The sequence below is a fragment of the Homo sapiens genome, chromosome 1 (assembly GCF_000001405.40).
Source record: "Homo sapiens chromosome 1, GRCh38.p14 Primary Assembly".
Classification (NCBI taxonomy): domain Eukaryota; kingdom Metazoa; phylum Chordata; class Mammalia; order Primates; family Hominidae; genus Homo; species Homo sapiens.
Window position 1 is genome coordinate 70,069,096 of NC_000001.11, and position 27,487 is coordinate 70,096,582.

Below are 27,487 nucleotides of genomic sequence, written 5' to 3' on the forward strand. Positions count from 1 at the left end.
AGTTTTCAGAAGTTTAATTATAGTGTGTCTGTATTAGTGCATTCTCACACTGCTATGAAGAAATACCCAACACTGGGTAATTTATAAAGGAAGGAGATTTAATTGACTCAGTTCCACATTGCTAGGGAGGCCTCAGGAAACTTACAATCATGGCGGAAGGCAAAGGAGAAGCAGACACCTTCTTCAAAGGGTGGCAGGACAGAGTGAGTGCAAGCAGGGGAAATGCCAGATGCTTATAAACCCATCAGATCTCATGATATCCACTCACTATCATGAGAACAGCGTAGGAGAAACTGCCCCCATGATCCAATTACCTCCACCTGGTCCCGCCCTTGACATGTGGGGATTATATGGATTATGAGGATTACAATTCAAGATGAGATTTTGGGTGGGGACACAGCCAAACTTTATCAGAGTCTATTCATAGATTTCCTTGGGTTTGTTCTATGTGGAACTCTTGCTTCTTGAATCTCCTTCTTGCTTGCTTCTTGAATTTCCTTCTTGCTTGCTTCTTGAATTCTTGCTTCTTGAATCTGTAAGTTTATTTCTCCTCACCAAATTTCAGAATTTTTAAGCCATTATTTTATCATGTAATTTTTCAGCCCCAACCCCTTTCTCTTCTCCTCATGATAACATGATTATTAGAACTTTTGTATAGTCCCACAGGTCCCTAAGACTCTGCTCATATTTTTGTCAATGTGTTTTCTCTCTGTTATTCAGATTGAATAATTTATATTGTCCTGTCTACCAGGTCACTGTTTCTTTCCTCTGTTTTCTACAGTCTGCTGTTAAACCTATTCACTGACTGAGTTTTTGATTTGTTATTGTATTTTTCAGCTCTAAAATCTCCATTTGTTTCTTCTTTATATCTTCTGTTTCTTTGCTGAGACTTTTTAAAAATTTTATATATTTTTTATTGACATGGTCTCACTCTGTCTTCCAGGCTAGAGTGCAGTGATGTGATCAGAGCTCATTGCAGCCTGGACCTCCTGAGCTCAGGTGATCCTCCCACCTCAGCCTCCCGAGTAACTGGGACTACAGGCACGCATCACCACACCTGGCTAATTTTTTGTATTTCTTAAAAAGACAGCGTTTCGCCGTGTTGCCCAGGCTGGTCTTGAACTCCTGGCCTCAACTGACCCACCTGCCTCGGCTTCCCAAAGTGCTGGGGTTATAGGGTTGAGCTACAATGCCCGGGATCTTTGCTGAGACTTTATATTTCTTTGCTGACGATTTCTAGTTTTTCATTTGTTTCAAGTGTGTGTGCGTAATTGATCATGGAAGCATTTTTAAGTGCTGCCTTAAAAGTATGATAATTCTAACATCTTTGTCCTCTCAGTATGAGCATCTATTGATTGTCTTTTTTTATTTGGTTTGAGATCTTCCTGATTCTTGGTATGATGAGTGATTTTTTAATTAAAACTTGGGCACTTTTATATTATGTTATAAAACTCTGTATCTTACTTAAAGCTTCTGTTTTAGCTGCCTTTCTCTGACACCACTCCAGTTGGGGAAGGGTGGGGTGCTGCATTGTTATGGCCAGGTAAAGGTAGAAATCCAATTTTCCAATTCAGCTTCCAGTGACAGTTGAGGTAAAGGCTTCTCATCATTGCTAAGTGAGGATGGAAGTTTCATCTCCCCACATGGTCTCCACTTGGTGGGGGTAGCATCATTACCACTGGATGATGGGGAAAGTCTTGACTCTCTACTAGGCCTTCTCTGACACCACCTCGTTAGTAAGGTAAACGGTGCTTCATTACTGCTGGGTAGGACTGGAAGTCCAAGCTCCTTGTGTGGTCACCACTGACACCACTGGAGAAGAGGGGCTTATTACTAGTTGATGGGAATGAATGCTGTGCACCTACTTGCCTTCTCTAACACCACTCTAGCAGAAGTGTTTGTATGCCTTGTGACATCCTCACAAGGGTAGAAGTCTGGGCTCAACACTTGGCTTTTGCTGGCATTGTTTGGGGTGGGGCTACAGTTTTTTTTATGGTATTCAGCTGTAGTGGAGGAGTTATTGTCTAAAAGCATTCTGTCTTGTTAGACAGCATCTTTCCTATCCATTGGTTAGAGAGAGTAGGCTTTTGTTGAAGCATTGTTTATACCTATTGGCATTTTCAGATTGTCTGCTTCTTCAGCTCCAAGTCTGTGATATATGACACAAAAATAAGCCCAGAGAACTTACCACCATGCTGTGACTTGTTCCCCAGGTCCCTAGCTAGTCTGCCTTCTCTTTATTATTCATAGTCTTCTTGCATTTATTTATGTGTAATGCCCAAGGTTTTTTAGTTGTACTTAATGGAAGAAATAGGGCAAAATACATCTACCCCATCTACCTGGAAGCAGGTGTCCCACTGGCCTAATTTTTAACAACTAACCTGCATTAAAAAAAAAAGTTGGGGTGCCACAGAAAACATGATGTGAGTAGAAAGTAATAGGACTGGGTTTTTGTTGTTATTGTTGTTTTATAAAATTACTGATACTGACTTATTCATACAAGTGCTAATTCCTCAAAATCAGTAAGTAAGTTATCCTTTGGAGATGATTCTGCTTCCAGACATTTTAAGAACTCTTTTGGATTTAATTTTAGGGAATGAATTGTGTTCTTTTGAACATTCTCAGTGGCGTAAATTGTAATCTTTTAAGGCGGTGTTTGATTTTTGGAAGCAAGCCCAGGTGGTTCAAGAGCCAAGATGGGTAATAAAACAGATGACCAAATTGAGTAACATAATATACTTCTTAGTCTAACACTCTTTTTTAAAAGACCAGTGTAAACCAAATCATTTTTACAGTGATAAAGCCATGTCTTTTATATTATACAAAACCTCCCAAATACTTCCAACTGTCACATAATAAGCCTGATTTGCTGTGGGATGAATTTTGCGTGAACAGTGCCGTTTGCTATCAAATCAACAATTCTTTTCTGTGGTTTTTGACATAAATATTTTCTTGAGTCTTATAGATATTAGAGTTTTCCCTGTAAACTTTGACAGTTTTTTAGGGGGTCAACTTCAAAACAACATACTCCATCACTATTCTCCTCAAATACATGTTATTTTTTACAACCAACCTCCCCTTGAAAGTTCCAAACAAATGTCAAATTTTCTCTATTTCTTTTTACTATTCAAAATGTGTAGCACAGGCTTTACAGAAACCTTCATGTTCAAATTCCCCTTCAGTATGAGTCAGTGTTCTCATAGCTAACCCTCTGCATGAATAAGTCTAGTCTCTTACATTTTCTACATTTTCATCAGTTCTTTGAACTTCATCATGAACATCCTCATTACTTTTCTCAAGCCTTTGTGTCAGTCAAAAACAACTTCCTCTTTACAGTCCTTCTGAACCATTATTGTCCCTCTAGATGTCTTGTCATTTATGTTTGTTTAACTTTATTTAAAAAATTGTGTAATTCTTTGCTTTCTACAGCTGTCATTCCCCAACATCATTCATCACAGCCTATAGCCCAAGAGAGACAAAAAACTGCTGCTGCTGCTGCTGCTGCTGCTGCTGCTGCTGCTGCTAACAGAATGACTTTACAGCATGTTCTTTTCATGCCCATTGTTTGTTTTGCCAAGCCATCTAAGAGCATGAGCTTAATTACTTCATACTAATAGATTACTAAATACAAAAGCATCATCCTATTTGCTTAACTGTAAAGGTCGAAGTCACATGCACAGCATCTAAAACAGATGATAGACCTAATTCACTAAGTAGGGAATTGCCTTTTGGCAAATTAAAGAGCTGCTAAAGAAATTGAATAATATATCCCCTCTCAACAACTTGATCCTTTTGTTCCTTTTCATGGTTCCTTTTCAATTCATGGTTCAACTAATGAGGGTGGGTGTCAATTTGCGGGGAAAGGGTGGCAGTATAATATAGTCTTTAAAAGGATGACCTTTGATAGACAGACTTGGTTCAAATGATGGTCCTGTCAGGTTACCAGTTGTATTACTTGGGAAATGTACTTAACCTCTTCCACCCTTAGTTTTGTCCTCAGCAAAATTGGATAATAAAAATTACCTCTTTAACACTATTGTGAAGTTTAAAGAGGTAATATGTATATGGTGTTTTTTGAATGTAAACACTCATTTACACTGAGTGTTTGGGTGGTAGCTATTATTTATTAAATGCCAGTTACTGTGTCAGTCATTAAAAACTGTAAGTGGAATATGATGCTTGCTCTTAAAGAGTTCAAAATCAGCATAATCCTGAGCTCACATCCTGTCCTATCAGAAGAAAAAATATACCTGAAAAGTAAGTCTGAAGGCTATTACACCGGGAGTTCAAGGCTGCAGTGAGCTGTGATCACACCACTGTACTCCAGCCCGGGCGACAGAGTAAGACTCTGTCTCTAAAAATAAAAATTAAAACTCAATTCAAATAACAAAGGCTACTATAGTTCTCCAATATATAGCATTAGCTTTTCACCCTTGAATAGACTAGTACTACAATACTCTAATCAACAAAGTAATCCATAAGCAGTTATTAATTTTCTCATGTAGATTATATTTCATGGAACCAAGCTATGTTCTGGATCCTTCTAAGTTTGTCTGGGTGGAAAAATGCTTTGCTTATCTATATGATCACTTTCAATTAAACTGCCAGTTGTCACTTCCGCTGGTTCAAGCACTGGCTGAAGACCCATGAATATTCTGCCAGTGGAAGCAGATATAAACTTAAAAATCAATTGATTTGTCAGTAGCCAGGCCAGTCACCCTCAGTCAGATAGTTCCATCCCCGGCTCCTCTGACTCCTGAAATCATTTTCTCTAGCTATGTAACTGGGCATGCCAGTGAGTTCATTCAGAATACAGCGGCACAGGCCAGGCACTGTGGCTCCAGCCTGTAATCCCAGCACTTTGAGAGGCTGAGGCCGGTAGATCACTTAAGGTCAGGAGTTCAAGACCAACCTGGCCAACATGGTGAAACCCTGTCTCTACTAAAGATACAAATAATTAGCTGGGCATGGTGATGCAGGCCTGTAATCCCAGCTACTTGGGAGGCTGAGGCAGGAGAATCACTTGGACCTGGGAGACGGAGGATGCAGTGCACCAAGATCGTGCCACTGCACTCCAGCCTGGGCAACAGAAAAAAGACTCCATTGCCAAAAAAAAAAAAAAAATACATCCGATCAAAATGTGATACTGAGCTTATCATGGATGCCCTCTCCTCCAAACAAAAGAACACAATGCAACTTACACCCTCTGGAAAAAAAAGAAAAGATATTCCATGGCAGCAAGCAAGAGTTGAATTTGCAATAAGGAAAAACTCGACCACAAGGGTGTTTAATCTTCTAGAATGGCTGAAAAGGCTGCAATATCTTCTTTCATTAAGATTTCTGAGAAAGGAATAGATACAATAGAGAAATACAGATTTGCCCTTTATGAGATTATCTTAGTTGTATTTATGAGGTTATAGATCTGTAATCACTGGATATGCGTTGGACAGAGTTGGATTGATAATTGATTTCACATTGTGCTGGTATAGGCTGAAGCCCTTTTTTGCATCTTTTCCTCCCGTTTCTCATGTCTGAGATATCTTTACTGTTTTCAAATGTAAACAATTGTAAATTATACCAAGACAGTCAATTGGACGTCTAAAATATAATCAAATGGTTGTTTATTTTGCCTTACATATTGCCAAATAATAATTTTTAATATTTTCTTTTGAAATTGTCTCTTGTTTGGAATCCAGCAATATATTTTTCCTCTGAAAATGATTTTTCATTATCACTGTAGTGTTTTTTATGTTGCTCTTCTTTAAAAACTTTAAAATAATTAAATTTAATCTCTTCCATGAATACTTATTTAGTAATTATCTTTTTATTACTCCAACCTAACGTTTTCATAGTAATCAAAAATCTTGATTAGTCAGGACATTTCACAAGCTTTCCTAGCTAATGAATTCAAAGGTGAAATTCACTTTTGAATTCAAGTCACCTATCCTTAAAAGATCAAGAGGAAAGAAAATGAATTCAGGAAATAAATCCCCACGTCTTTCAATAGCAATGGGTGAAGTACTAAGCACAGCACTAAAATATATGTTTAAAATTATTCATGATCAGCATTCATTTTCTATGTTAGACCTCCATGTTAAACCATTCTCAGTTTAGAAAGGCATATTCTGGCTTACCAGCTCACACACAAAACTGCTTGCTTGGTTTGTAGAAAAGACATGAGATAGAATGACGCAAGGAGCTGGTGCTAAAATGAAGGTGAGAAAACAGGAGTCAACAAAGAAGTACGGGTATGATCGTATCATTTAAAGATGAGAGACCGCAGCAAGCATACCCTCTCTCCTCCACCTTTAAGAATTCAGAAATGATCATTATCGGTTTAAATAAAGGGTACTGATTAATCTCTCTGAAAGCTCATGACTAGATGATCTTCTGCAGAGAGAGCTCATTTCGAAGACGGTTCCATAGCTAGTGCCCCCACAGGAATTTATCACATGATTAATTTTTAATGTAACTTAGAGATTTCAAAGGCTGTATTTGAATAATGGTGATAATTGATAAATATTGGTTTTACTCATCTGAACAAACTTACTTGCTTCAGAATCAGAAAACTGTTTCCATCATTTTCCCCATGGTGTTACATATATTAACATCTCTCTGTAACTCTCTGGTATATTTCAAGATGAAATACCAGATACAGCTCCCCTTTATTTTTAAGTTGCGACTTAATTTTCTTCCTGAGATTTTTCAAACTGAATTTTCTTCCTTTAAAGTGAGGTTAAAATTATCTCTGGCAAGCCAGCAGATGACTATGAATGTATTTAATGTGACCTTGCTCCAATATTAACATTTTCACAAACCACAGTAGGCAGACCCTTACTGTTTCTTCATTATCCTTTCTGGCCATGGCTGAGAGCCCAAATGGTGCCGCTTTACCAGAGAGGTATTCTGTACGTGCTTTCTACTTTAATCACATCCTTTCAGCACCATGAATCTTTGCCTGACAGATTATCTTCTCCACAGGCAGGCAGCCACATCCAGACGTTGATGGGGTCCCAAAGCCTTCAGCATCGCAGCCGGGAGCAGCAGCCGTATGAAGGAAATATAAACAAAGTGACCATCCAGCAATTTCAGTCACCATTGCCTATTCAGATCCCCTCTTCACAGGCCACCCGGGGACCTCAGCCTGGACGGTGCTTAATTCAAACTAAAGGGCAAAGGAGTATGGATGGATATCCAGAGCAGGTGAGAAGTGTTTCTTTATTACTGAAAAATCTTCAGGTAAGAAAAGTCCAAAGAATCCATGGTTGGCCTTCCCTCATTAATGTGGTCCAGGACACAATGCCATCACCATGTTGAATGGGGTAGGGCCCTCTTTGTGGGGATTTTATCATTCTTTCCAGTGGTTAAGGACTACAACATATAGGAATTTATGGTTGGTAAAATACCCATTTTACAAAAGGAAAAATTGATGGGGCAGAATAGTTTTTCCAGTACCATCCTACACCCTTTCCTACCCACTCCTAACTCCAATTTAGCTCTACAGTACAGATTTTGAATGTTATAAAGGACTTCAATGGATTAGGTATATTTACCAAGTCTGCTGTTGAAACCTTCAGTGTGAAAGTAAACTATATTATTTCCCCCATCTGTGGGAATATCTTTTAAAAGTCCTATCTTCTGATTGTTGAATGGTGCAGAGATAAAGCTTTGCTATGAAGATAATTATAAAGAACAGTTAGAAGGGAAATGTTTCTGACATGCTTCAAAAGTTACTGATAACTGCCATGTAGCAAAAAGAATTGCGCTCTTCAAACCTATCTAAAATTAGGATTTGCTTTTCCATTGTAGTATCTGTTTTAGTTCCTTAGGACTGGAAAACTGAGTGGGATTGCATCTATTGAACTATATTAATCTTAGAAAGTAAAACATTAAGATCTTAATACACTTAAAATTAATTTCTCTTATTTCATTATTCAGATAGATAGGCAACATTCCTACTGACTTTTCTAACTTTTAATATGGTCTATAAAAGCTTCATTTTATTATTACTTATCAAAGTTTTTCATATCACCCCACCTGACTTTCTAAACATATCAAAATTAACTTCATTCTCCAGATTTTCCCTTTATATTGTTAAGAGCCATTTATCATTTGGATTCCAAGGGCTTTAAACATCTCCTCTATTTTGTAATATCCTTCTTGAAGCCTAGATTACGTACTAATCATTCTCAGAATCATAGGTGCATTGTAAAGATAATCTTCTCCCTCTCCTGCCTTAGTCTAGGTCAAGTGTTGAATTTAAGGTATCATAAACCAGACAGGTGCCTTTAATCAGATAATGATATGGGGTTTTTAATTCTCCAGATACTCTTAAAAGTTAATACAATTTTAAATTATGCTTTACCAAAGGCATCTTAGGAGGTTAAAAAATTATTCATAGATATGACTTGCCCACAAGTATCATAACTCAAACCAGTTCTCTGATTTAGTTATTCTTATTAACAGCTACATGGTTTTTTCCTCCCAGAATCAATGCATTTGAAAACGCACTGAGATTAATGCTATCGGTTTTCGCCTACATTGAAAAGTAGGTTTAGTGTTAGCATGCAATTATTCTGAACACCCAAAATTTAAAGGCTATTTTAATACTATTTCCCCAAAAATGTAAATTATATAAAGTTTGGCTAGTAAGAGGATTACTAAGTTTTAAAGTTTACACATGTATTGAGTTTAGAACATTATGATTATTTCAGAAAAAATGTATTTATAGTAGCTCTCAAATGTTTTCATTCACAGCTTGATAACATCAAGTACATTTCAAACTGAGAGATAAAATTTAAGCATTCAGTTGAATGCTTAAACCTGTCTGAACTATAACTCAGAATTGTAGAACTGCCTATATGTTAAGGAAGGGACTTAAATATAACACCTTTTGATGTCTCAGTTTTTTCTGCCTTGGTTTCAGGCTGAAATGGTTTTAGATGTATTGTACATTTCAAAATAGCTAGAAGTGAGGACTTGGAATGTTCTCAACATAGAGAAATGATAAATACTCGTGGTGATAGGTATCCTAAATGCCTTGACTTGATTACACGTTCTGTGCATGTGACAAAATATCACATGCACCCCATGAATATATACAAATATCATTATGTATCAATAAAAAAGACTTTTGAGTGAAAGAAAGCCTAAAGGCATTTAAACAACCAGTTCTGGTCCCCAAACTATGTTACCTGTCATCCCGTTATAAACCTTGAGTCAGTTTCTTAAAGCTGTTTTCACAGTTGGCCAGCTCATATTGGCACATTGTCATGTGCTCCTCTTCCCAATGGCACCTTCAATGACATCATATTAATAGGTTGAAGTTGTGGGAAAAATTATACCAGGAACATCAGCAAACACTCCAAATTAGGGCACTCTCCAAACCCCAACCAGCTGTTTATTAAATATTTTCCAGCACACCACTGACTACTACCCTGATTTCTTTCATCTCTTTTTCTTTTTCTAACCTCTCCACTTCTTCATTTAGCTTAGTGTTCAAGAAAGAGATACTAGGACTAGGTCTCAGAATTTGGAGTTCTAGTTTCATGTTTATGTTTATTAGCCACTTGTCCTTGGCCAAGTTGTTAACTCTTCCTGAGCGTCTGTTTCTCTCCTGATCAAATGAGAACATTGCTACCCACCAACAACATTCAAAAAGAATTTGTCAGAGTCAAATAATACAGTTCTACATATACGCGCGCGCGCGCGCGCGCACACACACACACGCACACACACACACACACACACACACACACTCCCCGTAAGCTTAGCACTGAGGGTATAGAAACAGAAAACAGTAGAAATAGAATATTTTAAGAATTCAAATATTTGAAGAAACTTAATGATTATCAGTCCCAGCCTCCTTCATCTACAAATAGAAAAACAAACCAAGAAACATTAAAAGAGGCTGAAAGGTTATATATTTCACTCTCATAATGAAACTATTTCATGTGTGTTTTACTTTCCTAAGTTATATTTCTTTTGAAAATTGAGACCTTTTTAATAAGTGTATGTGGCTGTGTGTTTTAAAAGAAGACTTTTATTCCAAATTTAACCAGGAAAAAAATGGAGAACATTTAAAACATGTAAAGACTTTATGGAGATTCACATGAAAATTATGGAGTAGTGATTTAAGTGCAAAGAGCAGTGAGGTAACATAAAATTTCTAATGTAGATTTGGGGCATATAAATCAAAACAGTCTATTTTAATAAGACATTTCTAGTGGTGCTATAAAAGAGCCATAAAGAGAAAAGCAAAGTTCAACTTAAATTATCTAACAACAATGGTAAATTTGGTCAGGTACAATATGGAAAAAAATTATTCAACATTTTTAAGAGCAAGGAGACACAGTAAACGTGGTACAAAGAAAGTCTACTCAGTATAATACAACACAATAATTTCTGTTAAAGTAAAGCTTGGAAACTTTAGTTAAACAGTAGTCACTTATTGAAATACTACAGGTAAAACAAAATCTGATTACAGTGAATACATATTTTTTCATTCAGGAAAAGGAAATCTGAATGAAAATAGCAAAGAAAGGGACAGCAGTTACCATATATTAAGCACGTGCTATGTGTTTTACACTCTATTTCTCACACACAGGTCTGGCATCAGAGGCATGTGACCTGTAGAGTTGCATAAGGTCCTGCACTTAAAAGGGCCCCACATTTGGATTAATGCCCTGCTGTCACCATCTTGTAATTCTTAATAGTTGTTGATCAAGGAGCCCACTTTTTCATTTTGCATCAGGCCCAACTAATTATATAACCGGTCCTGCTTACATATACTATTTTATTTCATCCTCATAATAATCTTATTTTCTTTTTACAAGTGAAGAAACCAAGGCAGAGAGAAAATAATTTATGGAAAGTGTAATTGGCCAAGCTGGAATTTTAAGTCAGGTTTTTTTCTGACCCCAGTCCAAGTCCTGTGTCCTAATCTCACTGTAAAATTCACCACATGATCTCAATGCCCTCTCTGTCAAATGATATTAATTAAACCTGCCTGAACTATAACTCAGAATTATAGAACTGCCTTATGGAGTGTTCAAGTGAACTCACATGAATACTTGCAATTGCTTTGAAAAGAAAAAGCTACTGAACAAATGGAAACTTTTATTATTAATGAAAACATACCTCTGTATCCCTTAATGTCACCCAAAGAACTAGTGTATTTTTAACCTGATTAAAATAAGTTCCATGTGGAAATGAACATATATAATAAGTGCCAAAACTGACGACATTGAATGAATTAGAATGAGTGTCATTTGTTATGTAAGCGGAGTATTGAACTTTGTTTAACCATGAAGAAGCATTTAGTAAGCTTTGAGGCTCCTCTTCAGTGATAAAACCATCTAAACTTTCAAACTACCCATCACAATAAAAAGGACAAAATATTCAAGAACTCTAGAAACCTAAACTTCTGGTTTAATGCACTTATTTTCACGTTTATTTTTCAGAAATAATGAGTATCAAGTCTGTTTTCAACTCTAGGTTTAAATTAAATATATGGAAGTTATGTTTCAACTATAAAATGTTACCCAGATTCAGTGTATTAATTTCTGTAGACTATAAATCTGACTTCAAATAATATCTGCAGCAAAAACCATGTGCATGTCACCTGAAGTTCATTATCAGGGGATTTTACTTGAAAAGGAGATTTTAGTGCATAAACCGTTTAGATTACTTACAAACATAATAGAGGGTAAAAGTCAGAGTTGTATTAAGTAGTGAACTGAATAAAACAGCCAGAAAGTGAAGGTTTGACTCCCATTCCACATGGAAAACCCTTCATCAGAATATTCATCCTATTAGATCTCTCCTTTGTGTCCCAGTGTAACTGAAGAAGCTTAAAGATCCCATCCACCTTATCCTCCCCTTCACAATATGGTAATGCTTTATATAAATTGTTCTTAACCGCAGCTGCAGAATCTGTTGAGGGGCTTTAAAAAACACTGATGTCTTGCTCTCATCCCCAGATAAACTGATTTTAATAGGCTGCATGTGACCTGGGCAATGAGACTTTTGAAAACTCCCCAAGGTGATTCTATTGTGTAGCCAAGGTTGAGGAGCACTGCTTTAGATGTTCTATAGCTCAACAATTTATCAGCTGAATAATATATTGAGAATATCACTATTTAAAAGCATACATAAGTTGCCCATAAGCTGTTGGATATTTTTAAAAGAAACTAACATCAGCTTTGTTTCTCCCTTTTGCAAATGTATAATACAAGACACAGTATATTTAAATAAGTAGATAGTATAGATGCCAAAGCAGAAATAAGAAGGAAAAACATCAGCATGATGCTTCAAACCTTTCAAAACCCTTTTATGTATTCACTGATTTAATTTAATTGATAATGTTGTGATATAGGTAGAGCAGTTTCCATTTTATAGACTACAAAACTAAGACTAAGATAAGTTCAATGTCTTGCCTGTGGTCACACAATGTAGAAGCTGGGCTGGGATTAGAACCCAGTCTCATGAGTCTACCACATTACATGCTGCAGCCTGCGTCACATGTCAAGAGTAAATTGACACTGGAAGAGTGAAACGATGGAAAAGTCAAGAGTAGCCAAGCACACAAGTCAAGAGTAAATTCATATTGGAAGAGTGAAACGATGGAAAAATGCACCCTTCACTCCATGTCTGCCCTGGACAAGGGGACCTCCCTAACATATCAAAATGGCAGGAGCCCAACCAACCTAACACATCAGAATAGCAGGAGCTCCATGGCTGTCTCCTGCCAGTGCCTGCAAGTATACATGCAAATTAAAGTTTGTGCCTGAAAGAGAACTTCTAAGCTCACATTAGAATCAGCCTCAGAGAGTTATAAAAAATGATATGCATCCATCATATTTAAGGGAAAAAAAGTTCCAAAACATACTCACAAGGAGATGCTGTAGTCTATCCTGGAAGAAATCACTTTAATACTTAATATTATGTGGAATACATAAAACAGTTAGCTGAGAGACAGGATTTCAGACTTCTCTTTAGATTAGATGCTCTGGTCAACTGCCCAAAGAGCACTCAAGAGTTCCAGGTGAGGACTTCATTTATTGTGTGCAGGTGAAGAAAACTACATTCTGCTGAGTGGTGTAAGAAGAAACATTTGGAGATATTTGTTTTATTTAAATTATAAATTTTTTAATTAAAAGGGAATAGTTCAGTAAAGGTATTTGTAAAATAGGTATTAATGTAGTTTTAATCTCTGTTATTTACTCAAGTTATTTCAGGGACATCCTGTGCCTTATCCTGTCCCACTTAAAGAATTGCTATTTGTGAATATTTCCCCCATAGAATTTTATTCTCCAGTCATCAAAATAATGCTTCAGTTCTGAATTTGTAATTCATAGTTTGACACAGAGAATGTGTGACTCAACATCAGAAATTCTATCAATTGACTTTATAAGTTGTGTGCAGTCATATGGTAGAATGCAGTAAACATTGCAGTGGGAATAAAAAGATTTATTTCAATGTTGCACTAAATACATATTATCTTGTTGGTTTCCTTAAGTCCAAAATGAAGGAAATGAAATGACTAATCTTTAAAATTTATTTCCAGACTAAAAATGCATTTGAGTTTCTGTTTCCTAGATACATACAGAATCAGCTAATTTTTTCTGAAAGACCTAGAAAGTGCTACATCAGGGGATTTTATTAGTCAATCTTGATACCAGTACATTTTTTTTTTTTTTTTTTTTTTTTTTTTTTTGAGACAAAGCCTCTGTCACCCAGGCTGGTGTGCAGTGGAGCAATCTCACCACAGTCTCCGCCTCCTGGATTCAAGCAATTCTCCTGCCTCAGCCTCCCGAGTAGCTGGGATTACAGCATGCTCCACCACACCCAGCTAATTTTGGTATTTTTAGTAGAGATGGAGTTTCGCCATGTTGGCCAGGCTGGTCTCGAACTCCTGGGCTCAAGTGATCCACCCACCTCAGCCTCTCAAAGCTCTGGGATTACAGGCGTGAGCCATTGCACCCAGCTGACCAGTACATCTTTTGGAAAGATTTAACTAGGAATTTTAGCTGGATTTGAATCTTTCATTCACAAGAGGAAAAGATTTGAATATAGAAGAATTTGTATTTCAAAAAATATTAATTATCCTTGAATATTAACATGTATACATTTTTATAATCACTGTTTCCTTTTTGAGCCTATTTCATGGGCTTATCAGAAATTTTGGAAAATGCAGAGAAATTTTATGTGTATTTTGTATGGCTAAGTAATGTACATAATGTAAGTCAAAATGAAAAATTATAATAGCTTATTATTGCATAGCACTCTTTATCATAAAACTGCTGTTATATAATAACCCATAAAACCAGGAGCTAAAAGTAGCAGTAACTTTAATTTCAAGCTTAATTTACATACCATGAAGCATTCTTTCTGCTTTTGTCAAGTCCTATCGTCAAATCTCCATCCTCATCTCATCTGACCTCTCAGCCATGTAGTTTGACCTTTTTCTCCAAAATTTGTATCCCCAGCCTTCGTCTCTCTCCTTCACTCCAGAAGTTTATATGCAATTAGCTACTTGTTGACATCTCATCCTGGATGTCTGATGAGTTTCTTAAACTTAGCATGGTTTTAGAAAACCACTTCCTGCTGCTAACTCTACCAAACCTACTTCCCCATTTCAGTTAATGGCCTATCACCCTTTTGATATGACCAAACGTCCTTGATTCCCCTTCCTCACAGTCTACACTCAATCCACAGCAATTTCATCAAGGTATGTCTTGAACCCACCACTTCTCACCACCCACACAGCTACCATCTTAGTTGGCCGTAACCTCACACCTGACTACTTCAAAAGCTTCCATATTGCTTTCTCTTCTTCCAGTTTACCTCCTTTTGTCTATTCTCCACTACTAAAGTGATCTTTTTTAATAAACATAAATTATATTACACCATTCTTCCTCTTAAAATGCTCTAGTGGCTTTCAACATTTCTGAATAAATTTTAAATCCTTACTATGGTATAGTGTCCCTGCAGATCTAGCCCCACCTTCCTCTCCTTCTATTCTTTCTTTAGCTCTGTCATGATGACCTTGTTTTTTAATGGCTTTATTGATATAATTTATATACAGTAAAGTTCATCTGCTTAAAGTGTATAATTTATTGTTTTCATTACATTTGTACAGTTGTGTAACTATCACTATAATCTAACTTTATGACATTTTCATCGTTCAAAAAAAAACTTTGCATCCTTGAGCAGTCACTTTCCATACTCCCTCCAGCCCTAGACAACCACTCATCTACTTTCTGTCTCTATATATTTGCCTATTCTGGACAATTAATATGAATGGGATCATACAATACATGTATTTTTGTGATTTGCTCCTTTCACTTAGCATAAGGAACTGAATGTAGCATGTATCAGTATTTCATTCTTTGTCATTGCTAAATGATATTCCATTGTATGGATATACCACATTTTGCTTATGCATTTATCAGTTGATGGTTGATGGACATTTGGGTTTCTACTTTTTGGCTATTAAGAATAGCACTGCTGTGAACATTAATGTACAAATTTGTGTGGAGATATATGTTTTCATTTTTCTTGGGTAGATACATAGAGATGAAATTGCTGAGTCATATGGTAATTATGTTTAGCATTCTGAGGAACTGCCAAATTCTTTTCTAAAAGTGGTTACAACATATTAATTCCGAACAGCAATGAATGTGGGTTCCACTTTTTCCACATCCTTACCAGTACTTATTATTGTTTGTCTTTTGTACTGTAGTCATCCTGTTCATTAGTATCTCATTGTCATTTTGATTTACATTTCTCTAATGACTAATGATATTGAGTATATTTTCATATGCTTTTTGAATGTTTATGTATCTTCTTTGGAGAAACATCTTTAAAAATATTTTGCCTATTTTTAAATTTGGATGTCTTTTTATTATTGGATTGTAAAAGTTATCTATATATTCTGGATATACAACCCTAATCAGATATATTATTTGCAAATATTTTCTCTCATTCTGTGGGTTTTCTTTTCACTTTTTGATGGTCTTCTTTGAAGCACAAAAGTTTTTAGTTTTTATGAAGTCCAACATATCAATCTCTTATATCATCTTTGGTTTCATATTTAAGAATCATTGCCTAATCTAAGGTGATGAACTTTACTCCTTTTGTATTTTCATCAAAGGGTTTTATAATCTAGCTCTTATGTTTCAGCCTCTGGTCTACTTTACATAACTTTTGTGTATGGTGTGAGATATGAGTACAGATTTATTCTTCTGCATGTGGGTATCTTGTCCCAGCACCATTTACTGAAAGACTCTTCTTTCTCCCAGTGAATTACCTTGAACCCTTTGTCAAAATCATCTGACTATAAATGTTAGGATTTATTTTTGGAGTCTCTATTCTATTAAACTGATCTATGTTGTTTCTTGACGTATGCCCTAAATCCATCTTTAGGGCATTTATAATTGCTGTCCCCTTTGCTTGGGATAGTGTTTCATTTTTCTTATTGTTCATTGTTTGATCTTTGGCATCATTCACATTTCTGCTCAAATGTGACATACTCAGAGAGGGTTTTTTTACCTACTCCATCAAAAATAGCTCTTTCCTGAGGCAAGAATAAGCTTAAAGTAAATAAATAAGTAGAATAACTCCTCATTCCATTTCAATTACTCTCTACTACCTTTCCTGCTGTTTTCCACAGTTCATCCCACTATCTGAAATTACTTATTTGTTGTTTATGTTTGCTATCTATCTTCCTCATTAGAATGTAAGTTCTTTGAGGTCAAGGATATTTTTATCTGCCTGGTACTTAGTAGGGAATCAATAAATATTTGTGGAATAAAGTCATAAATCATTATTTTGGCAACAGTTTTTATTTTCAAAGCTACAACATTTTTCCAGAGTAGTTTATTTCAAAGTCATTGATAATTGAGGTACTCTTTGAATAACTGACATTCCTTCTAAAACTCATCATGTATTTTAACAAGGAGTCATCGTATACTTTTTATTAAGGAAGGCAGGGAGAATTTTAGCCTTTATTCTTATTTATTTATTTATTTATTTACTTATTTATTTATTTTAGTGAGAGGGCTCACCCAGGCTGGAATGCAGTGGCACAGTCATAGCTCACTGCAGCATCAAACTCCTGGTCTCAAGTGATCCTCCTGCCTCAGCCTCCTGAGTGTCTAGGACTACAGGTGTGCACTACCATGCCAAGCTAATTTTTGTAACAATCCATTTTATTAAAAAAGCCTTTCCAAAATAAGACCCAGTATTGTAATTAGAGTAAGATTAACACAGACCAGAAGTTATCAAGTAAAGTAGAATTATGGAAGCAGACTCTGAAAGACCATTGATTGCACTACTACTGCATATGTTTTCGGCCAAACCATTCATTCTTTAAAACCGGTCTCTTAAAAGAAAACTGAGTCTGGCGTGGTGGCTCACGACTATAATCCAAGCACTTTGGAAGGCTGAGATGGGAGAATTACTTGAGCCCAGGAGTTCAAGACCTCATCTCTACAAAGAAAATTTTAAAATTAGCCAAGCATGGTGACATGTGCCTGTAGTCCCAGCTACTCCAAAGACTGAGATGGGAGGCAGAGGCTGCAGTGAGCCAAAATTACGCCACTGCACTCCAGCCTGAGAAACAGCAACACCTTATCTCAAAAAAATAAAAAATAAATTAAAAGAAAATTAAAATAATGGTTCTCATTAAATAAGCTATTTATTAGCTTCCTAGACCTAATCTTTTACTAGAACACTGCATTTCCTCTTTGCTGATCCTCTTTAGTTTCAGACTGCTTCCTGGATGTAAGGTATTCTGTCCTCTTACATTTTATGGCTTCTTTGGGCCTTAGCAGGCAGGTGGAACTACTTATATGTGAGAGGAATACTCTCTCTGACATGCTTTATGAGACCCAGTAGTCACAATACAACCTATTAGCCATACCTTGGCATGCCCAAGAGCAGTCTAGCCTCAGATCAGAATTTATGTTTGTTTGTCACATTTATAAAACTACAGTGTCATCATTATTTCTCTTATTAAAAAATATTAAGGCAGTTCTTCATACACTTGGCACATGTGAAATTTGTTTCTCTTAGATTTTTAGTGCCTTCCAGATTTACAATAATATAAAATAGATATAGTCGCTACCTTGAAAGAGAACAACTGGAAACTACTCTCAGCAATTTACTTTGTAAATTAAACCTGTTACATTTGTTTCCTTTGAGTTTTATAGTGGCCTGGAGAAAGCCAGAACTGCATATACCTTCTGCATATTATGTTGTGGCAATATGAAATGTTCACATTAGAAAGATATAACCCCAATTTTAAATAATATAATTGGAAATGCATAGAAACATTGAAAAACACAAAAGAAAAATGTTTTCATCATATTGGTTGCTTTCTTCTCATTTTCTAATTAATAAATAATAACAAAGAGATCAACTAGCACACTGAATAAGGCTAAAATATTTCTTTCAGCTACATCAGGCTATTATAAGTTTATATTCATAAACTAGGATCAATATAAAAATACAAAGTATTATAAACTGTAAATTCTACCACCTATGATAACTAGTTTTAACAAATCTAGCTCAATTGAAGGAAAAGTTATAATTAAACATCTTTAAAATAAAATAAGGGACAGTACTTATAGTACATTTACTCATAATTAAGAAACTATTCATTAATGACTACATAAAAATCACATTAGTGCATAGTTTTTCATCTTTGTGTTGCCAGTAAACTATCTAATATTTAAACATTATATTTACTATTGTGAAATATGACAGTGAATTAAGTATAGGATTATTAAACAGACAAACCTAATTGATCCAGGTTCTAGTGACAATATGTGCTAATTAAGTCAGAAATAGGACTCAGTTTGCCTTGAACTAAGAGGTAGGGATTGAAGATAGCTCACAATAAAAATGTAAAGAGTGTTTTGGGCATTTACATTTGCCATAAGCAAATTAATGGGCTAAGCAAGAATTCTGGGGGTAAAAATGGGCTACTTAAGAAAGCAAATGTTTACAATCACTTTTAAGAATTCTTCCAGTATGTAGCTATGTAAATACAAAATATATGCCAAAGTGTGTCATCTTATGTTTTTTCTTAACTCTTTATTAATCTTTTGCCTGCTAACCTTTGGTAACACTTGGTTCACCTAATACTTACTCTGTACTTAAAAGTTGTAAAAGAGTTGGGCACAGTGGCTAACACCTGTGATTCCAGTGCTTTGGGAGGCCAAGGTGGGAGAATCACTTGAGGACAGGAGTTCGAGACTAGCCCGGGCAACACAGCAAGACTCTATCTCTAGAAAAAGAAACAAACTGAAATTATTCAGGCATGGTGGCATACACCTGTAAGTCTCAGCTTGTTGGGAGGCTGAGGCAGGAGGATACTTTGAGCCCAGGAGTTCAAGTGAACTGATTGCAACACTGCACTATAGCCTGGGTGACAGAGTAAGACCTTGTCACTAAAATAAATAAATAAGTAAATAATAAAAAATAAAGTTACAAAGTGTTTTTTCTTTATGTAACCAATGTATACTGCCTCTTGGTCCGAAATCTTTCAATTATTTGGGATCACCCTGTCCCACTTTACCTGGAGAACTAACATTTTTACCATAGCCCACATACACATCTCCTGCTCAGGGTCTCCAGGAATTCTTAGGTTTGTTAGAGTTTCTCTAGGTCATCCCTGGCACTGATGTCATTTCTGCTGAGTTCTTGATCTACAGTCTTTTTATTAACTTCTATTATTGCTATAATTTTTACTACAGCCTTATCCCAAGGCGGACCCTACCCCTAATGCCATCATTCCCCCATACTACTATAAAACAAAAGTCATGTTTAATAGACTTTCATTCATGATTTGGGATGTTGGGGAGGTAATATAACAGAACATTAGAATGTTTGCCCTTGTGTTGCGTATTGGCCATTCTCTTTCCCTAGCAATGTCTCCATATTGTTGACCTCTTTCTTTAACTAGACCTCATCACACTATTCTCCCCTTTCTTCTAAGGTTCCTAACTCCTACTCCAGGAGCTGCTGCTAGACTTGAAACTCTTCACTGAGCATTTCATTTTTCCTTTTTTTTACCCTCACACAAGCTGTGGCTACTTTCTCAAACTAAAAGATCTAATATTCCTAAACAAAGAATTATCTAACAAGGAGATGAATTAATCTACTCTACTACAAAGCAGGCACAATTTATTTAAATAGCCATATTTTCTTTCACTCTACATTTTAAAGTTTTGTTTCACTTATTCAGACACTCCTTTCTAATCAACCTGAATACATGTGCATTTATGGTTGATAGCTAAGATAATGCATAGTATTTTAAGTGTTTATAAGACTTTTAACTTTTAAAAATGGCTAATCAAAATTTAGTCCTGTACATGGTAACAAATAAGTACTTGCTAATATCTTCTTGCCCAGGTAATTTCAAGCGAGTTTCCATCATAACTGATGCATATAGAAACATTAAACATTTTGTCAAAGTTTATATTGTCTTTTGTGTATCAACTCAACATAGGCTAACCCTAAGAAACCAAGTGAAATGTGAATCTTTTCTACTGAAATACAGTTATTTGAAAATATTTAGCTTTGATAACTGTTTACTTACCATTTTATATCTTTTTTACATAGTTTTGTGTGAGAATAGAAAAGAATCCTGGCCTTGGATTTAGTATCAGTGGTGGAATTAGTGGACAAGGAAATCCATTCAAACCTTCTGACAAGGTAAGAAATGAATATCTTGTTGACAATATTAATTAGAAAAATACTATCTCCTACAGTAACAAAGGTTAGAAAAAAATTCAAGTGTTTTTGTTGTGTTTTCATGAGCTAGTTAGTAACTCTGAAGCCAATTAGAAACTTTTTCAGCACAGGGATAAAAGAATTTACTGCAGCGCTTGACACATACTAAGAATAAAGGGAAAAGTCTCTAAACATTCTATTTAAAAGGCAGAGATTTTTTATATTTTTGTGGGGAGGCTTTGTGTTTTGTTTTTGTTTTTGCTCCACAGTTGTCTATATTTGTAAAGAAAGGTATATAGACAATTTCTAACAAGTTGTTTCCAAAGGTTAACTCGTAAGTCACTTATTTAGGAAACTGTTTTCTCACAGTAGCAGAATGATGACATAGTAATTCAATGCAAAGGCAAGCTGACTGCCATCTCTTCAATTCATCAAGCATGTAAAGAATTTTGCTAATAGAACTGTAGAATTGAGAAACCACAGAAAACAAATTTTTTATGAGAAAATCAGTTAGCATTAGCAGAAGAATTAGGTCCTCCTCTCATACTTACCCCTGCTTGTCAAACTATGGAATTAAGGCACACCAACTCTAACCTCAGCCATTTCCTGGACATTCAAGATGTTGCCTCTGCTCACATGTGACCTGCCTGACGCCGATGTGAACCACCTGATTTTTTATTTTTTAAATGTTTACCTGGAGCTATAGAACCTGCCCTGCTACCATCAGTGTTTAATACTCTCAGCTTTGAATCAATTAATAATTATTCAATGATAATTGAAGCTATCTACTTTCAACCTCATCAAATTGCATTAACTGACCCCATAAAACTTTAGGATGATGAAGAAGGAAAAAAATTAAATATGAATAAAACCTCCACAGGCTCTGTACTTACCTTTGAGTCACAACCTGGTCCATATCCTCTCAACTCATCACAATTATAAAAACCTACAGATTAATTTCTGATTATGAGACCTACTTCTGAAAAACCTGGGATGCCATTACTCTGGAGCTTTCTGTAGCCCGAAACAGAGCCTTTAACACCACATTTTCCTCATCTTCCTCCCAGTGATCTTGTTTCTTATACTCTTCCTACCCTTCTTCCTTTCCGTTTTGGGGAAGGTCAGGAGAAGAGGTTGGTCCAAAAGGAAGAATTGGTCGCATGATTATATACATTAGGAATGAAGAGACCAGAGGAAAATCTCCAGTGACCAAGGATGGGAGCTCCTTTGGTCAACAGGCTGGAGCAGCTACTCATATAAAAGGAATGTATATGAGGCAATCCTATAATTAGGGGAATGCCAGTTGGAAACATCTGTTCATAGGTAACTAGCATATTTCCATTTTGAAATGATGTTGAGGATACCATTGATTTATTACAATTAAAATATTCATGGCTTAGACCAACTGTTTACTTAATTTTAATAAATTATTGATACATCTTAAAGAAGCATAAAGGTTCAAAATTATCAGAAGCATGATGACATTTTTTAAAACCTCAAATCATTATGTCTTATTTATCTTGACTCCTCTTTTTGTCTTTCATTTTACATCTCTTTCATAAATTCTTTCAATGAAAAGTCACTAACCTTATGATACTTAAGAGAGTTGAAATTCAAGACATATTTTTCTGTTCTTTCTCACCAGCATATAAATCTTTTCACTATATTTTTGGAAGGTACAGGGTAAAAAAATATTTTTAAATTAAGGATGAATAGATTGTTAAGTAGTCAAGATGTCAGAATACTGTTGCATTTCTGCTCTTTTCAACTGAAAGAGACTAGATCTCAGGCTTTCAAATCATTGCCTGCAATTCTTCCACTGTGATGAATATGAACACTTTATAGCTATTCATTTAATTTCTCATTTGTAACATTTTGATGACTCTAGTGAGACTGAACTATGTCTATGATCTTATAATTTGCTCTTTTGGTTAAATGTAACAGATAAAGCACTTGAATTGTATAATGCGTCCATTGAAAGATTTCCCCTAAAAAGCACTTTTCTTTGGCTGATTACACTCTAAAATCATTCATAATCTGAAAAGTAAATCTCTATTATTATAAAATTGGTGGGAGCAACTAGGAGTTCCAAATCTACAGAAGAATCTCAATACTGCCTTTCACTTATTGACCAGTTTTGGTGGCATGCCAAACATATGGGGACACTTTGGTTAACTGTTCAGAGGATCTAAAGACACTGACTGACAATTTACATAAGAATTCAGTCCACTCACAAGGAAAGGGATTAATCTATTGGAAATTCAGCTGTGTTTTTTAGCCCTAGTGCCCTATTCTGAAAGTGTTGCATAAAATTTAGAGTAGAACCCAGTGCCTGAAACTACCTAAAAATATTAAACAGTAAGAAAATGAAAATGTTGAAAAACAGATTGGTTTTTCATGAAATGGCTGATTTACAGCTGGAAGTAAGAGGAACCAAGTTAAACAGATGTTTAAGATCAAAAAATACTGCCTGAGCCTGAGGTAGACTTATAAGGAGTCTAGTCATGCAAAAGTTTAAACTTTAATATGATACATACTCTCTTCAAATAAATAAGTCATTGATTAGGAATATTCTCAGAAATACACTATATTATTTTCCTTACTGCTCATGGATGTTTGAATGTTTTGCTGCTCAAAATTCTAAGTATCCAAGAACATCTGAATGTCTTAGAGGTACTGAGGACTTTCTGTACTGAAGTTAATTAATACATTTGTTCCATTCTCTTCATTATTGTTGATGGAAACTAGTTTCAGGGAAATGACAAGGACCAATGTGAGATAGCATCCAAAACGATTACAGCCAGACAGGGAAAGACTGAAACAGTCATCTCAAAAAGCTGAGAGCCACAGCTGCAGCAAAAGTGAACTATATTGTTCGGTCTGGCAGACATTCTGATCTACGTTCTGGGGTAATGTGAGATTGTTGCAGAAAAACACTTAGGGCAGCCCAAAAGTTAACTGAGGCTTTATGGAGGAATCAGGATTAAGCCAAATATAAGGGAATATTTTTACCAGACTTTGAGCATTTAGAACAGCATCTCATCTAGCAAACTTAACTCCCCTTCAAGATCCAAGGTAGTCTTGATCAAATATTGGCTCCTCCAGTTAAAGGGATAGAGCACAATTAGCCCTGCAGTTGATATTGTCAAAACAATGTTTAGTAGTGAAAAACACCAGTTCATTCACCATAGAACTCATTATTTCAGTGTTCACTGTCAAGCAGAAACTGCTTTTACATACTTGGAAAGAGAAAGCAGTAGAACACTGGATGGAAATTAGTTGCCTCTGTCCTCTCAATGAAGTGTATAATAGCCATGATCTGTTTCATTACAATAAAGAAACATTGCTGTCAAATTGTCAAGATACTGCAGAGAGATGAAAGATTTTGAGCCAACAAATCTGATAGTAAAGCAATAAAAATAATGGCCTTTTATTGAGTATATACAAAATGCTGGGCACTGTATTAGGCTCTTTATAAATATGAATTTATGAATTTATGTGATCTTCATAACTATTTCTGTTAGTTGAGTAGTATTATTATTCCCCATTTTATTGAGGCCCAGAGGGGTTAATTAACTTGCCCAAGGTCATTTAGCTGATCTGTGGCAGATAAGATTTGAAACAAAACTGAGCTGACTCCAGATGCTTTTCTTAATAAGCATTATAATACATGCCTCTATCTGCAAATGTCACTTAGCAGAAGAGCCACATGACAAATTTATACCCTGTAGAGTTGAGACTAATATGATATTCTAATATTGAGAGTATTACAGAGCCCTCTAATTAGTCATAGTCTAGATATTTTTTTCAACAAGTCCTTGGGAGTCAGCATGTATTCTCTGTTGAACCTAGATAATTAGGAGCATACTGTACAGAGAAGATTGCTAAGCAATTATATAACTTGTGGACTAAGGTATCATTACAGTGGTGATTCTGCCAATGGAGCAAGCCACAATATTCTTTGCTTGTATGTAAGCACTCATAAAATAATAATTTCCAATTGCAAAATTTAAGGAATTTACCAGTATAATTTCCACAGGATGTTGTTAGAAAGAGGAAACTGCATTAATAGATAACTGATGCCATGCTGTTGTAACATTTTATAAGGCAACCCAGGACTCTGCAAATGAGAGAATTTTTAATGATGCATTCACAAAACTCATCATTCAGGGATTCATGTTCTTCCTTGCTCCATCTGAGGGAAGAAGAACTAAGCTCCTGGATCTTAAAGAGATTAAAGAAGACTTATAGCCCTTTCCCTATATGGTGTAAAGGTGTTACACTGAACAGTTGCATGAAGAATTATCTACTCATAGTATCAAAATGAAAGCTGTTTTATGGATTCAGCCCATCCTCAAAGGACCTGACAGCAGCAAATATACATACTGGGGCATTGGGGCCAGAGAATCAGTTATCCTCCACTGTCCACCATTTATGTGGAGAATAGTCATAAGTGCCTAAGCTCAACAGATGCCAGAGAGCTCATCCATATTTCCACTAAGTTGGGCCATCTAAATGTAGCCATAGAAATGATAGAAAAAAACAAATTCATGGTTTTTTTAAAATGCCTTAATTTGCCTATGGTACAGGTAAAATTCCAAGCCATCGAAAGAATATTAGGAGCATAGAAAATGTAAACTATTATCACCAATAAACTCTAAATAAATGTCCTAGAATTTCAGAATAAATTACTATAAATTATTTACATTACATTTAAATTATTGCCTCCAGATGCCCAAACAGCCTGCAACAGGACTTAAGCCCCTCCTCTTTTCACTCCATTGTTTTTGTGTGGATATGGATATTACATCAAATAAAAGTTTTTACATGATTAATATTAAGAAAAGAAGGACCCTTAGACATGCAGAATTGAAGCTTTTATTTAATACTTTTATCCAAGGATAACAATACTCAGAGGCATGCGGGGCAACGGCAAGTTCAAAAATGCACAAGAATAATGTTCCAGTTTTGCTCAACTTCATGACATTGGGTGATCCATAAACAAAAGCTTGCTAAAGATATGCTTTTAACTTATAAAAAAGGTACATACCATATGCCTATTTCCTGTCAGGTTTTCTCCATGGATATAAAAAATGAGAATAGCAAACATATTTGTTTAAAACTCCATATAGCATAAGATGTATATTTACTATATGAATATTAAACTACTTTTAGCACATTTCCTTAACTTTGTGCAGCTACTAGACAAATACAATTTATTGTATATGTTTCTAAATTCATTTTGTAAGTAATATAATTTATATATGTGTCACATCCTTAATTCCACTTCAAGTGATTATGTAAGGCAAAGTAATTTGAAAAAATTTATGCATTATGTGAAAATAAAATTCAGGAGCAAGGGATAGAGATCAAATTGTTTTTGTACTTCAGACTAAATTTAGGAAGACGCTGAAACAGTTTTTATTTTATATATAAAATGATTTTTAAAAATAAATTTCAAGCATAAGTTCTTTTATAAACATAACTGATTACTTCAGCTGCATCTTAGTCATATTGCAGTTTGAGGTTCAGAATGCCACTAGGTTGTTTGAAGACATTAAAAGTGAGATGAGTTCTTTCTTTAATAAAAAATAAATTTTCACCTTTCAGTTCATTGTCTTAATGTTGGAGTAAAAAGTCCAAGATCTATTCAGAAACATTGGTAGAGATGAAATGTACTCTTCACACTCTCCTACAAATAGTATTCCTACAGGTGTGACGATTTATACCAAGCTTTTTTTAAAAGGTATGGTAGCATGCTTTAGCCAATTGAAAAATGTCGGTATCTAGACATTATAATAGAAAGGAGACATGAATTTCAGCTTATGAAAGCAAATAAGTATCATTAATTCTTCAGGAAACTTTCACTGGGGCATAAATGTGAAAAAGTAAGGTCACTAAAAAGTATCAGTGTAAAGCTAATGAACAATTAAATAAATGCATATATGTGTACTTTGGAACCTAAACATTTTTTAATCAAAATATGAAAGCACTTAAAATTAGCTTATCAATAAGATCTTACATAATTACTAAAAAGAATAACCAATAAATCCAGAGTTAAAGAGTAAGTAATAGTAGTTTAGGATTACTGAATAAGGTACCAAAGTACACATATATGCATGTTGTTTTTTTTGTTTTTTTTTGTTTTTTGTTTTTTGAGATGGAGTCTGGCTCTTGTCGCCCAGGCTGGAGTGCAGTGATGTGATCTCGGCTCACTGCAACCTCTGCCTCCCGGGTTCAAGCGATTCTCCTGCCTCCGCCTCCCGAGTAGCTGGGACTACAGGCACCCGCCACCACGCCCAGCTAATTTTTGTATTTTAGTAGAGATGGGGTTTCACCATGTTGGGCAGGCTGGTCTCGAACTCCTGACCTCAGGTGATCCGCCTGCCGCGGCCTCCCAAAGTGCTGGGATTACAGGCGTGAGCCACCGTGCTTGCCTATGCATTTATTTAATTATTCATTAGCTTTACAATATAAATAGTATAGTTTTACATAGTCTAAGTATCTGATTCTAAGTACAGTGGAAAAGAGAACTGCTTCCTATATTTAAAAATCGTGTTGAATAAACCCATCGCCATGCACAAACCACATTTCCATTAAAAGGGACTATCATTTAAACCCTGAGGACATTCATTAATAGAAAACAAGCAACCTCTCTAGTGTGGAATTAAACATTAAAATGATTAAAGAAAAGTCATATTTATTTATTTGTCTTTTTTTGTTCATTGAGGTATACTGAGTTCTC

The 27,487-nt window shown here is 35.5% G+C and overlaps 1 protein-coding gene across 6 annotated transcripts in view, besides 1 other annotated feature; it reads left to right on the plus strand.

Moving 5' to 3' along the window:
- The window catches only part of LRRC7 (leucine rich repeat containing 7), a 576,443-nt gene that overhangs the window by 501,174 nt on the left and 47,782 nt on the right, over positions 1–27,487 (plus strand). For all 6 annotated transcript variants that reach the window (NM_001330635.3, NM_001366839.3, NM_001370785.2 and 3 more), the window contains 2 exons: positions 6,982–7,203; positions 20,632–20,724. In NM_001330635.3, coding sequence (NP_001317564.1) covers positions 6,982–7,203; positions 20,632–20,724 — 315 coding nt within the window. The remainder of the gene's footprint in view (positions 1–6,981; positions 7,204–20,631; positions 20,725–27,487) is intronic.
- Positions 204–412: a silencer, noted in NCBI's record as "fragment chr1:70534982-70535190 (GRCh37/hg19 assembly coordinates)". NCBI's record gives its function as "represses an EF-1alpha promoter that drives an FKBP-Casp9 reporter gene in an ReSE screen in phorbol 12-myristate 13-acetate-treated (for megakaryocytic differentiation) K562 erythroleukemia cells {active_cell/tissue: K562(+PMA)}" and the evidence as "EXISTENCE:reporter gene assay evidence [ECO:0000049][PMID:32094911]".